Below are 13735 nucleotides of genomic sequence, written 5' to 3'. Positions count from 1 at the left end.
ATTCCAGGGGAGATTTCACTCTTTCTCCCTTCCAGCTTCTGGTGGTTGTGGCCGCATCACTCCCTTCTCTGCCTCCACCTTCACATTGCTGCCTTCTCTGTGTCTCTTGTAAGAACACTTGTTTTGGATTCAGGGCCCACCTGGATAAACCAGGATCATCTCATCTCAGGGTCCTGAAGGTAATCTGTGTGTGAAGACCCTTTTTCCAAATGAGGTCACATTCACAGTTTCTGGGCACAAGCGCATGGGCATGTCTTTTGGGGGCCACCATTCATCCCACTGCATCCTGTATCTGTTTCTCTCATTAGGTGCATAGGTCTGTGCCTGGCATCCCTCCCTTCCTTGTCGCACATGGGGAAAGAATGAAGTCTCCCCCTAGAATCTCTAGAGGGAGTGCAGCTCTGCCAACACCCTGATTTCAGATTTCTGGTCTCCAAAACTATGAGAGAATACATTTCTGTTGTTTATGATTCCGTCCTTCTTCTTATGAGACCATTGTCTTCCTAGAGAAGCAAGTCTTCTCTGTGCCCAGCTCCTTAACTCTGGGATGTCCCAGCTTCTCTCCCTGGGGGCTTCCTCAGGCTGTGTTTCCCTAACAGCACCTGACATTTCCCTTCCCTCCCCTGGGTGTCCCCCAAAGGCAAGCCGGAATGTCACGGGGAAGAGGACAGGAGCCCTGGCACCCAGCTGAGGCCTGGCATCCCCCAGCCTTGTCCCTCCCTTAGCAGTGGCTGCCAGTGATGTTCTAGAGCCAGGAGGGGGAGCAGCCTGGTTCTGCTTCCTGCTTGCTCTCCGGACTCTAATTAATTTCCTTCTGGTAGACTGTGTTTGATTACACCCTCATTAAGTAGCTTTGCACATGCGGGTCCCGGTGGTTTCGATATTGAAGCATCTACCTTTGCTGGTTAATATTCAGCGCTTGCTGCGTCCTCCTTTCCCCGGCTCTGTTGTTGCAGAAACTGTGGAGTCATGCCTGGAGGAGAGAGACAAATGAAAGCTAATTTCCCGCGGGGCCTTCCTTCTGGGAGTGGGGTTAAAAATGAGTTTAAGAGGGAAGGGGGGAGTTGAGGTTTAAAATAGAGTATGGCTGACGGCCTCCTCTGTGGCTTCCCCTAGCTTTCCCCTAAGACACCTAAGACGATGCACCAAAAAAAGACAAACACTCAGCACACTGGAAACAAAGACAGGTGGGCAGTCTGAGAGGAGCCTCCTCACTGCTAGACACATGGAGCAGGGCCAAGAAAGACACAATGCAGCCTTCCTCCCAGGAATCTGAGACCTCCGGAAGGAAGGGAGGAAGCCACTTTCTCCCTTAGTCTGTGGACTGTGCCAATCAGAAAGCCAGGCAACTGGTCCTGTACCACGCAAGTGACAATTTGGAGGTAAAAGGAGGGCTCTTCCACTCCCCTCTCCCTTCATCCTCTCCCATGCCTCTGTCTGCATCGGTTCAGAGACAGCAACTCCCAAGGCGGGAAGAGATGGCATCTGAGAAGTCCAGTGCAGCCAGCCAGTGGGCTTACCCAAGGACAGGAAGTGTCCTGAACATACAGACATTGTTATAGATTTCCATGGACTTCACTGTTGTGAGTGTTGGAGATTCAGGCCATGAAGTGGGTGAAGATGTCCCTTCTCAAGGTCAGAGTCACATAAGCACAGTGCCTGAGACTCATCCTGGGGCTGGACTCTTCTGCAAGCCAGAGCCCTGAGAGGTGGACTCAGTCCCAACCCAAGGAGGCCGTCATGGGGACAAGGATGCGCTGATAGACGTGGGTGTCACTAGATCTTGGCCTCTTTGAGAGTGCACAAGCTGGGGAGGGGGGAAGCCTGAGCGTAGGATAGATACCCTGGAACCTGAACCCCGACCTCTGAAAATGATCTACAGCACGATCCAGAAGAAATGAACTTTGTGGGAAAAGAACAAAAGGCCACCCAAAGAGGCCAAGCTGTGATGGAAAAGAAAACCAACAGGATGAGATGAAAGGGGAGATTAACAAGCAAAATAAGAATTGCAAGGAAATGAAATGCTAGGCGACTTACAATCCTTCTTGGGGGCAGTGAGAGCGGTGATGCTGGATGTGAAATCAGTGACATGGAAGGCAAACTGGAAACCCTGGATGAAAGTGTATCATGCACAGAATACCAAAAAAGATAAATCCAGAAGACACAGAGCCAGTGTTGGTTTTCCTGAGGAAGAGACAGCTTGAAAAAAGGTCTGTGTTTGCAGACCAATACCTGAAAGTAAATCCAAAGGAAACAGATCCGCCACTAGACACATGGTGGCAAAAATGTTTAATAACCAAGTGTCAGGGGTAGAAAAAGAATGGCCAGATAGAATGTGCACCCTCCCCTGCCCCCTCCTATCCCAAGAAGGTGTCTATGTTTGCCTGCCTGGGGGTCTGGCTCTGTCACCCAGGTTGGAGTGCAGTGGCACCGTCATAGCCCACTTCAGCCTCAACCTCCCTGGCTCAAGCTGTCCTCCTGCTTCAGCCTCCCAAAGTGCCGGGATTACAGGCATGAGCCACCGGGCCTGGCCCCTTTTAAAATTTGTGGTAAAATACACATAACATAAAATTTACTATCTCAACCATCTTTAAGCATACAGCTCAGTGGTGTTAAGTACATTCACACTGTTTACTGTGCAGCTGATCTCCAGAACTCTCATCTTGCAAAACGGACACTGTGTCCTCATTAAACAGTAACTCCTCCTTCCCTTCCCCCCAGCCCCTGGTAGTACCCACCATTCTACTTTCTGTCTGTATGAATTAACTAGTCTACATACCTCATATAAGTGAAACCAGACAGTATTTGTCCTTTTGTGTCTGGCTTATTTCACTTATTTGTCCCTGTGTCCTCAAGGTTCACCATGCTGTAGCATGTGTTGGAATCCCCTTCCTTTTTAAGGCTGAATAATATTTCGTTGCGTGGCTAGACCACACTCCGTGTACCCATTCATCTGTTCATGGCCACCCGGATTGTTTTCGCCTTTTGGCTACTGTGAATGATGCTGCTGGAAACATAGCTGCTGTTTGAGTGCCTGCTTTCAGTTCTTTGGGGTATATATTCCCAAGAGTGGAATTGCTGGATCATATGGCAATTCTGTGTTTAATTTGTTTAAGGAACTGCCACACCATTTTCCATGGTGGCTGCACCATTTTGCATTCCTACCAGCAGCGCACAAAGTTTCCAGTTTCTTCACATTCTTGCCAACCCTTGTTATTTTCTGGGATTTTACGGGGCTTTTTGGATCTGAGAACTGGATTGGCCAGAGAAGTTAAGTTTATTTGTATTAGAAAGATTTTGGCTGGGTTTTCAGGGTGGAAATGAGAAAGTGGGGGATGTTGGAGTAGTAAGAAAGATACAGGGAAGGGATTTTAGGAGTTTGGGCGATGTCAAGAATGAGATGTCCCTTTGGTGACTTGGAGAAGTTGCTGTAGAGATATCAGTTGCTTCAGAGGCCTCCTATATGCTGAACTGATATTCCCAGGAAGAGGACAGTGTGCTAGGGCTGTCCAGTAGGCACAGTGGGGTTTTGTGGCAAGGACAGCCCTACAGGCGCCAGGGCCGAACAAGCAGCTAAAGAAACAAAAATCAGATAGCCTCATTCTCATCTGCAGGACTGAAAGTCAGAGGGTAGCCAAGTCTGCGATATTTTGCAGGGAGTTTCTGTTGAGCCAGGTTGTCTTCAGGTGTGTCATCAACATGAAGGAATTCTCAGGGAGGCCAGAGCTCAGAAGAGAAAGCATCTGTGTATTCCTCCTGGGGGGAAACATGTACTGGGTGACTTCCCTACTGCACAGGAATACAGAGTGAAGGTGTGAGTCCAACTGTGGGGAGGCATCAACGAGTGAGTGGCAGTGATCATGTACACTCCATGCCATTACCTTGCACACACGTGAATGCAAAATGCCAGCTGTTACATTCATAGGGTTGTTTTCACATCTAAAAAAAATAACAGCAGCTCCTTACAGTGCCTCACGCTTGTAGTCCCAGCTACTCTGGAGGCTGAGACAGGAGCATCACTTGAGCCCAGGAGTTCAAGGTTGCAGCGAGCTATGATCGCACCGCTGCAATCCAGCCTGGGTGACAGAGCAAGACCTTGTCTCAAAATAAAAAATAACAAGTTCACAAGTGAAAAAATAAATTTTTATGAAAATAACTATATTTTCCAAAGGAAAAGAAAAACCAAGTGAGGAGAGTGGTGTTGCTCCCCATTTTTGTGACTCTCTTTAGTCTCACTTTCTAGAAGACGGCTATCAGACTTGCGCTTTTGCACTGGGTCTTGCGACAGGTTGTTTTAATTGACATCTATGAAGAAAATCTGGCATCACATAGATATGTCATTGGAAAAGAGGTCCCCACAGCACCCCTAAAATGGTCTTAAGGGTGCTTCCCCAAAGTCTACAGACCACACTTTGAGAAATGCCATTCTGACTGCCCTGTGTAAATCTCTACTCACTTTTTGGAAACATGCACCCCTATTCCCAAGCCCATCATCTCTTCCCATTGCAGCGAGTCCCCAGACCTGTTTATCCAAGCTCCAGTTATGTAGGGCCCCCTTCTTTGAAATGCCGTGTGCTGCTGTGTGCTGGGTCCGGCAGCTCGGAAAGGGAGCCGAGAGTGACTCGGTGTCAGGCCAGCCACACTCTCCGAGCGTCACTCCCCACCAGCAGTGACTCAGGTGCACCTGCTGGTGTTCCCAGACATCCTGATGAGGAACTGTCCACAGGCACAGTTCCTAGAGGTGGTACCGTTTAGACCTATCATGAGGAAAATGGGATTGTCCTCAATGCCTTGTGCTTTTTAAGACAAACCAGCCCCTCCAAGACTAGTACAGTGCACAGGAGGGGCTGCAGGGACCACACCTGGATCTGATTCTTCCACTTCCCTTGCACATGCAGCAGGCCTTGTGTGCCTACCCCCATTCTGTGTCTTCCTGAGAAGGAGGGCAGGCCATGGGTGCCGAGTCTGAAAGGAGCCCATTCCCAGGGCTGTGGCCCAGGCTGCAGCCTCCTGAGACACCTGAGGATCTGGTGACCTCTCCTCCCTCACACCCAGCCCTGTGGGTAGTCCCAGCAGCTGGTGACACCATCATCTCCAATAGCCTGGCTTAGGGGAGGGGGGATGGAGAGGACATCAAGGAGGCAGGAAGTAGCCCAAGGTCCTCAGGACTATGAAGTGCCCTCAGTTAGCACAAGCATCCTGTGGGCCTAGGTGGGGTTGAAATAAAGCAATAAAGCAATAATGTGTGCCATGGCCTTTGGCCAGCCTCTATCTGGCTTTCCCTGTTGTAGCCCTGGGACCTTGGGGAGCCCCACCCCAGCTGGAATTCACAGGGCGGGCCGGTGTTGGCCGTGACTCACAGTGACCCTGAGCTGCCTTTCTAGGAGACCCTCCTCCTTCCCTCCCATCCTGCCTCTACACTCCTTTTCCCCTCCTAAGCAACAACCACATGAACCCAGACAGTGCTCCAGAGAGGCAGAGCCACAGTCAGCAGCTGGGCAACCAGGGGGATGGCGCGGGGAGACGGCAGGGGAGTGGGCTCCGGAAAGGACATTTGGCATCTTCACAGACCTGCCCAACCTCCTGGGTTGGCAACTGGGATTTTCTTGGTCCTTCCAGGGATGGCCTAGACTAGCTTGGAGATGTAGGGGGTCCAGGAAGATGGGGCAGGGCTGGTAGGAACACAAGAAACCCAGGCAGTCATCTGGTCCAGGGCTTTCAAGCTTTTCTTTGGAACAGAACTGCGTTCATTTGTTTGTAACCAGGAGCTGCTTTGTAAGAGCTGCAGCCCACAGCCCTGCTGGTTCCTCTCACCTCTCTCGTCTACCGCAGCCCCTGACCGTCAGCCTCAAGATCTTGGAACACAGTTTAATAACCACTAGTGTGGTTCATCTGCCCATTTCACAGATAGGGAAATGAATCCCAAGAGGGAAGTCTCTTGCCACAGACTTACAGCGAGTTGGGGCTGGCCAGGGCCTAAAATCCAGTGCTATTTCCCAGGGTCATTTAGGGACAGACTGCAGGGACAATTGTAAGGGGGAGACCACTAGGTGCCAGGGGTGCTCACAGAGGAGAGGGGTGCCCAGGGGCAAAGCAGAGGAGGCATAGAGGCTGGCATTAAGTTGCCAACCACAGAGGAGCAGCCCAGCCTGCTCGACCGAGTGTAAAAGAAAAATAGCTCCATGCCTCTGGCCTCCTCCCCGTGGCCACCAGTGCAGCCTCTGACCATGGGAATAACCACCCCTCTGTTTCCACCTCATCTGCCCTCCTTCTCCAGCTCCCTGTCCCCAGGAAGGGGAGCCTCAAGCTGTAGGCAGGGACTGGCTGGCAAACCAGGCACTGGGCCACAGCTCGTTTGACCACACAGGCCCTCTGAGACCGTAGAACACAAGTCCTTTGACTTTCGGCCTTCCTGTGTCCCCAGCTTCCTCCCGCCTCAGGGAGGCAGGGCTGTGATTTTGCACATTAGTGGGTGATAGTTTGTGTCCCGGGGTCCCTCGTGTCCACACGGCTCTGACACACCCTCCTGACCATGAGGCCAGTGTGGACTCTGTGTGCTCAGGTCCCCGCCCAGCCCTGACTCCAGAATTTTTCTAGGGAGAGAGCTCATGGCTTTTGACACATTCTCAATTGGGTCTGTGGTCCAGGAGATCGAGAACCCCTGCAGAAGGTGAGGACGGGCCTTCCAGGGAGGAGGGGGCAGAAATGTAGTAGAAAGGGCACTGCTGCTTTCTCTGTTCCCTGCCAGAGGCTTTACATGTAACACTTGGTCTTGTTCCCCTTGCCTCCTTGTGATGCTGGGGTCACTGTCCCCGTTTTACAGATGAGGAAACTGAGGCTTAGCATTGTCAGGTTGCTTGCTTCAGGATGCAGCCCTGGCTGAGGGATTGAAAAAGCCAGGGCAGGGCCAGAGGTCAAAGGCGGGTATTGTACCTGCTTCTACAAGGGGGTGCAGCTCTAGAACCTGTACCAGCCAGTGCTTCAGAAGCCTCCCCTGACTGCATCCATGACAGACCTTGAGCCCCCAGGTCCTGGTTCCCAGCAAATTTTTTCAGCAGCCAGAGAGCCTGGCACAGGACCTGGCAGTTCGCCTCCAAGGTTCATTCCTGCCATATGGAAAACAGCCCTCACAACTGGCCTCTTGTGTCCTCACTGAGGCGTTAATGAGGGTGGGGGCAGAGTGCCCCCTAACCACGGCAGGTAGGACCTGGCTGGCAGTTGGGCTCCAAGGGGCTCCCCACAAGAGGCTCCTCCCACCCCCAGGCATGACACCCAGGCCCTCCAGAGCCCCCAGCAAAGACTCTTTTTTTGCTTGTATCAATGTCAGCTGCCAGACCGCAGAGCCCGTCCCTGCCCGCCATCTGTCCAGCTCAGCCACCCTCTCACCACCCCCTGGCAGATAAGAGCAGTGCAATCTGCAGAACATGCCCAGGGCTGAGGCCGTGCCCCACCCCCATCCTTCCTGAAATTCCAACAGCACAGAAGGCGTGGGCCTTGGTGTCTCCATCTGTAGAGAATATATGATGATGTCCAGCCTGCGTGCCTTCCAGGGATTTCTAAGAATCATGTGGGGAAGGTATTTTAAAAGTTCAGAATACAAACAAAATGACAAGGAGCAAACTCAGCTGGTTACCCACACATTCCCTGCCCAGACGTCCCGTCCCCAGGGCACTGGACCCCAGCCACCTGGGCTGGGAGCCTTTCTCTGGGCTGTGCTGGGGCAGCTGTGGGAGCCCCCAGAATGAGGACAGCCTGCAGTGGGTGGGCCTGCTTTGCCTCCCTACCCAGGGATGTCTCATGTTCCCCAGGATGGTGTGAGGACAGTCTCCGGATGGGAATGTCAGCATTGCCTGGTCTGTGCAGGGCACCAAGCTAGGGTCAGGGACTGTCGTGTAGCTCATACCCAAGGATGGCAGAAATTGGGAGGGGGGGGCTTGAGGAAAGGGAGCAGGCGTACCTCCCCCTTTCACGTGGAGTGGCACGAAGTTTAGTCCCCACCCCAGGGCAGGCACGTCATGTCTCCTTACTTCTCCAAAGCCGATCACTCCGTTTTAAGCTCAGGGGTCTCATGACCTACTTTAGATGAAGGTCACAGGATTCTTCAGGGCCTGCTTTGGGGGAGAACAGCAGTCAGAGAGACCTTCCTGTGTCAGCTGCCTCCTCAGATGCCAGGGTACCATATTCTGGGGTGGTGTGTCCTGAGCCCCCAAACCCAATTCCTTCCTCAGACCCAGGGAAGCTCTGCTCCAGCGGTTTCTGCCGCGGCCCCACCACACTTAGTAGCACTCGCCTCCAAGCTGCTCCCCTCCCATCGGGAAGATTCCACTCAGTACCTTTCTGAGGGAGTCCTGATGAGGTTTCCTTCTGGGTGCCTGGCAGGATCTGCTTACAACCCCACCACTCAGAAACCCCCAAGGCAAAGGAACACTGAGGCTGCATCGGCTACAGAAGGAGCAGTAAAAACAACGTCAGAAGCAGGAAGAAAACACAAATAAATATCATTAAACCATCCTGTCACAAGGCAGTTAATTCCAAATTTTGCCACCATAGAGAAGCAGCTGCTTGCACCGAGGCAGGCCACCCTTGGCTTCCTCCTCTGGAAAACCAGAGAGACAAAGGTCAGGGGCTGTCCTAGGAGAGGGCCACAAGCCAGGACCTGCACAAACTGCAGAGCCTGCAGAGGCCAGTCCCTGCTCTTCCTCAACTTGGAGGCAAAGACAAACAGGAGAGGCCTGCCCCAGCCCCTGAGGGAAGTTCTGCAGATGCTCCCCACCGGGGCTCTGGGAGGCAGAGTCGCCTCTAGGGGTCTGTGCCTACTTCTCTTGGGGATGGTGGGCGAGCTGGGTGGGCAGCCAGCCCTGACCTCTGGGCATCCTTTGCTCTTGCAGGACCTGGGCATGGAGTCGACCTCGCTAGACGACGTTCTGTATCGCTACGCCAGCTTCCGGAACCTGGTGGACCCCATCACACACGACCTCATCATCAGCCTGGCACGCTACATCCACTGTCCCAAGCCGGTAGGGTGGCTGTGGTCCGAGCCAGCCAGGTCCCGGGGTGTGCGGTGGGTGCCTTTCTGGGCAGAGCAGCTGTATGCCCAAGGAGGACTGGCAGACAGGCCCAAGGAGGACAAGCCCGTCCTCCAGGCACCAAGAGCTTGAGGTGCTCTCCCTTGGTGCCACTAGCACAGATTGGTTTTGTTTGGCCCAGGGGGTGAATTCATTGCCAACATTTAAAAACCAGAATTTTTCACATGATCCCTGTATTCAGCTGCCCTTGAAAAACTGGAAGCTCCAGCAACATGAAGCCCTCATTTCTGCAGGGCTGGAGCTAAGTAGCCATCCCTGTTATATGGGGCCAAGGCCACCACATACAGTTGTACAGGTTGTACCTTGCACGAAAGCATGCGTACAGAGGGGTAGTGGGGTAGGGGGAGGCAGGGGAAAGTTCAAATCCAGCCCTCTCTCTACCCACCAAGCCATGAGCCCTGGTGCAAGCCCTTGTCTCCCTGGAGGTGAACTTTTTCTTATTTGCACAAAGGTGTCATAGAAGGCCGTCCGGGGCCCTGCATGGGGCTGTCCGCTTTGCCTCAGTCCCCACCACTCCCAGATGTCTTCACCTCTGAGGCTGAGTGTCCTTTGACACCCACCCCTTCACTCATGTCTTCTTCCTACTGGCCCTGGGAGCTCGGAAGGGAAAGCTCCATGGCTCTCCAGGCTCCAGATCTGCAGCTCAGCCCTGCCTGGATGGGAGGTTCTGCCATGTTCCTGCAGCTCCAGGTCTAGGCTCCCCCAGGGCTATGCAGCCCGACCTGGCGGGAAGGGGAGGGCCGGCTGGGGACATTTCCACACTTGAGCGCTTCTCTGTTGCTTTGGTTTTTTTCTGTCTCATCCCTCAATTTCCAGTGGCTTCCAAAAGAAGTGCTTCCCCACTGGCAGTCAGGAAACCAGAGCAGGACGAAGGGGTGTGGGAGGGAAGTTTTTCCTTTTGGTGTAGGATCTAGGCCGGGAGTGAGATGGTTCCCAAGCCCACCTGTCGCTCGGCCTGGATACAGACTTGACTGTGGTCCTACAGTGAGCTGGAGCCTTGCTCTGGAAAGGTGTTTCCTGGGGCTGAGCTCCATCTGCGGCTTTGTCGGGGGCCTTCTCTCTGACTCTGGGGCTACCTGATGCAAAGGCTCTGAGGTGGGGCCCAGCTGTGGAGGGCTGGGAGCCAGCCAGGGTCAGGAGCACAATGTTGCAGAAGGCAGGGATGCAGGGCCCAATGGGAGGGGAAGGAAAGCTGGTGTTGAGGAAGCCTCGAGGCCTGATTGGTGCCAGGAGCCACAGGGAGCTGGCTGGGGCTGGCGCCTCCGTCGCTTCTCATGCAGTTCCACCCGGTTCTGCCTAGGGAGGTGGGAAGGGACGGGAGTCAGGCCTGTGAGGAGGCCTTGCCAGGTGCCAGACTCTGCCTTTCCTAGAGCAGCAATGGAGTTGCTCACAGATGAGAGGGTGAAAGGCGATGGGGCTCTCAAAAAAGCAAAAAAGAAATAGGAGGGCTATGTATATGCCCATCTTTGAGTTAAGGAAAACAAAATTCAGGTAATCAAGTGATCTGAGCAAGGTTACACCTCCGAGGAGAACCACAGGTGTGATTTGGGCCTATGCAGTGACCCAGAGCCGGGCGGGACACAGGCCGGTGGTCCCTGGGTGGTCAGTGCCCATGGGGGCAGGAGGAGGGGCCTGGTGGGAGCAGCCGAGCTCCCCTCCCTCCCCAACCTGCCCCTCACAGGTTGCCTCATGGACAGCCTGTGTGGGGAGAAGGACCCACCCTCTCAGAGAGAGAGGCAGGCCAGGGAGTGGGTAAGGGCCACTGTGAGACCCTGTGAGACAGGACCAGGCAAGGCCAGGAGGAGGGGCGGGAACTCCTGCCTTCTGATCTTCCCTTTCCATCTGGGTAGAGGCGGGGCCAGGGGGTGCATACCTGGGTTGTTGTGGTCCATTCAGGTGGCTGTAACAAATTATCGTAGACTGGGTGGCTTACAAACAGTAGAAATTTATCTCTCACACTTCTGAAGGCTGGAAGTCTGAGATCTGGGTGCCAGCCTGGTTGGTGACTGGCAAGGACCTTTTTCTGGGTTACAGACAGTCACCTTCCTGTGTCCTCACATGGCAGGAAATGGGCAAAGGAGCAGGAATCCCATTGTGAGAGCTCCACCCCCCTGGCCTAATCACCTCCCAAAGGCCCCACCTCTAAATACCATCACCCTGGGGATTAGGTTTCAACACGTGAATTCTGGGGAGATACCAACATTCAGTCCATTGCATGGTGTAACCTTCCTCAGACCACTTCAACACCTGGACTTTGTTTTCCTCAAAACAAAATCAGAGCCAGCCAGAGTGGGTGAGCCCTGCTAAAGCCCAGAGACCTGGAAGGCCCCTTTCGTGCCCATGTGGCAAGCGAGGCTCTCTGGATGAGGCAGGGGTGGGAGGTCCCCAGGCTGGTGGTAGGAGCAGCCCCTCCATCCACCCCAGAGGGCTGACCAGGACATCCTGGTCAGAGCAATTTGCATCTGAGAAGTTCATGTCAGCCCACGTTATGGGTCTAGAGATTATAGGCAGAGGTGTCAAGACCGGAGAGCTCGTTCCAAAGGTAAATTGGATACTACACGGACCTCACTGAACATCCTTTAGTGAGGGGCTGTGCTGTAGTTTAAACAAAACCCAAACTCCTCATCTGGCTTTGCCTGAGTCTCTTGAGCTCCCCTCTCCCACTTGCCACCCTGCGAGCTCTGCTCTAGCACGTGGGCCTCCCTCCTCTGTTCCTGACACCTCCACACCCTCTCCTATCTTAGGGACGTCGCTGCTCCCTTTGACTGCTCCAGCCTCTTCTGTCTGAGTTGCCTTCTCCTGAGTTCAGACTGAGCCTACGGCCTCTGAGAGGCCTTCGTTGACAAGCCTGCCTAGTGTAGGCTCCTGATCAGCCTGTCTCGAGCCCCATTTATTTTTCCATTCGTTTCTCTGTTTTACTTACTGGTCTCTGAAATTACCTTGCTTATTTATTTGTTGGCTAATTTATTGTCTGTTTTCCCCACTAGAATATAAACTCTGAAGGGAAGGGTGTCTGTCTTGTTCATAATTCCAACCTGCACCAGGCAGGAAGCAGGCAACATATTCCATTGTGAAGTTTGAAGAGAGTTTAGTAAAGGGTTGAGGACAGGATAAAGGAAGTCAACAGGGGACATTGAGACATCCAAAGACAGCAGTAGTAGGAAGTTGTTTCACAGGAGGACAAGCTGTATTGCCAGAGGCAGGGTGAGAACACCTGGTCCAGAGCCACGCTGCATTATCCATTGCCATATAGCAAACTACCCCAAAACTTAGTGGCTTAAAACAACAGACATTTATTGTTATAGTCTCTGTAGGTCAGGTTTGCAGGGGCCGCTTAAGTAGGTAGTTTAGCTTTGGGTCTCTCAAGACATTGGTCAGGGCTGCAGGTGTCAGAAGGCTTAACAGAAGTTGGCAGGTCTGCCAGTCTCGGTGGCTCACACCTTTGGGAGGCCACCGAGCACTTTGGGAGGCCGAGGCAGGTGGATCATCTGAGGTTGGAAGTTCGAGACCAGCCTGACCAACATGGAGAAACCCCATCTCTACTAAAAATACAAAATTAGCCGGGCGTGGTGGCGCATGCCTATAATCCCAGCTACTCGGGAGGCTGAGGCAGGAGAATCACTGGAACCCGGCAGGCGGAGGTTGCCGTGAGCTGAGATCGCGCCATTGCACTCCAGCCTGGGCAACAAGAGCGAAACTCCGTCTCAAAAAAAAAAAGAAGTTGGCAGGTCTACTTCCAAGGCGGCACACTCGCCCTGTAGCCTCTCCATGGGACTGCTTGAGTGTCCTCACATCATGGCAGCTGGCTTATCCCACAACAGGTGATAATATAGAAGCCATAATGCCTTTCTTTCTTTCCTTTCTTTTCTTTCTTTCTTTCTTTTGACAGAGTCTCGCTGTATCACCTAGGCTGGAGTGCAATGGCGCAATCTCGACTCGCTGCAACCTCTGCCTCCCGGGTTTAAGCGGTTCTCCTGCCTCAGCCTCCCAAGTAGCTTGGGATTACAGGCACCTGCCACCACAACTGGCTAATGTTTTGTATTTTTAGTAGAGACGGGGTTTCACCATGTTGGCCAGCCTGGTCTCAAACTCCTGACCTCAGGTGATCCACCCACCTTGGCCTTCCAAAGTGCTGGGATTACAGGTGTGAGCCACTATGCCTGGCCTTGCTTTTTTGTTGTTGTTGTTGTTTGTATTTGTTTGTTTGTTTGTTTTGAGACAGGGTCCCACTCTGATGCCCAGGCTGGAGTGCAGAGGTGTGATCATAACTTTCTGCAGCCTGGAACTACTAGGCTCAAGTGATCCTCCCACCTCACCTTCCCAAGTAGCTGGGACTGCAGGCAGGCACCACCATGCCTAGCTAATTTTTTGTTTTTTTTTTTCTTGTAGAGACGGGGCACTCACTATGTTGCCAAGGCTGGTCTCAAACTCCTGGCCTCAAGCAATCCCCCTCCCTTGGCCTCCCAAAGCACTAGGATTGCAGGTGTGAGCCCAACCCCCACAATACCTTTTAAGACCCAGTCTCAGAAGTCACAAACCATCATTTCCACCATTCTATTGGTTCTAATGATTCTGTTGCTCACTTAGACCAGCCCTGCTACAATGTGGAAGGACATTACACAGGGGCACAGATGCCAGGAGCCGAGAGC

The 13735-nt window shown here is 53.1% G+C and overlaps 1 protein-coding gene and 1 long non-coding RNA gene across 16 annotated transcripts in view, besides 4 other annotated features; one reads left to right on the top strand and one right to left on the bottom strand.

Moving 5' to 3' along the window:
• The window catches only part of LRRC75A (leucine rich repeat containing 75A), a 50617-nt gene that overhangs the window by 20919 nt on the left and 15963 nt on the right, over window positions 1-13735 (top strand). For all 6 annotated transcript variants that reach the window (NM_207387.4, NM_001113567.3, XM_017024620.2 and 3 more), the window contains one exon: window positions 8889-9017. In NM_207387.4, the coding sequence (NP_997270.2) occupies window positions 8889-9017 (129 nt within the window). The remainder of the gene's footprint in view (window positions 1-8888; window positions 9018-13735) is intronic.
• Window positions 627-13735, bottom strand: part of SNHG29 (small nucleolar RNA host gene 29) — a 31662-nt gene continuing 18553 nt past the window's right edge. For 5 of the 10 annotated variants that reach the window (NR_027171.1, NR_027175.1, NR_045023.1 and 2 more), the window contains one exon: window positions 627-973. This is a non-coding gene — a long non-coding RNA (small nucleolar RNA host gene 29). Of the gene's footprint in view, window positions 974-7957; window positions 8112-8333; window positions 8443-10029; window positions 10383-13735 lie in introns of all 10 variants that reach the window. The other 5 variants (NR_027176.1, NR_027173.1, NR_027177.1 and 2 more) reach the window with 5 other exon arrangements.
• Window positions 4773-5564: an enhancer, noted in NCBI's record as "H3K27ac-H3K4me1 hESC enhancer chr17:16369025-16369816 (GRCh37/hg19 assembly coordinates)". NCBI's record gives its function as "activates a minimal SCP1, AML or CMV promoter by ChIP-STARR-seq in primed H9 embryonic stem cells {active_cell/tissue: H9 hESC(primed)}" and the evidence as "EXISTENCE:reporter gene assay evidence [ECO:0000049][PMID:30033119]".
• Window positions 7186-7480: a silencer, noted in NCBI's record as "tiled region #3494; K562 Repressive non-DNase unmatched - State 18:Pol2". NCBI's record gives its function as "represses a minimal TATA promoter and a strong SV40 promoter by Sharpr-MPRA in K562 cells {active_cell/tissue: K562}" and the evidence as "EXISTENCE:reporter gene assay evidence [ECO:0000049][PMID:27701403]".
• Window positions 7186-7520: a biological region, named in NCBI's record as "Sharpr-MPRA regulatory regions 7543 and 3494".
• Window positions 7226-7520: a silencer, noted in NCBI's record as "tiled region #7543; HepG2 Repressive DNase unmatched - State 12:CtcfO, and K562 Repressive non-DNase unmatched - State 18:Pol2". NCBI's record gives its function as "represses a minimal TATA promoter and a strong SV40 promoter by Sharpr-MPRA in HepG2 and K562 cells {active_cell/tissue: HepG2 | K562}" and the evidence as "EXISTENCE:reporter gene assay evidence [ECO:0000049][PMID:27701403]".

Source organism: Homo sapiens, chromosome 17 (genome assembly GCF_000001405.40).
Source record: "Homo sapiens chromosome 17, GRCh38.p14 Primary Assembly".
Taxonomy (NCBI): domain Eukaryota; kingdom Metazoa; phylum Chordata; class Mammalia; order Primates; family Hominidae; genus Homo; species Homo sapiens.
Note: the sequence above shows the minus strand (reverse complement) of the source record. Positions and strands in the feature narration are given on the sequence as shown.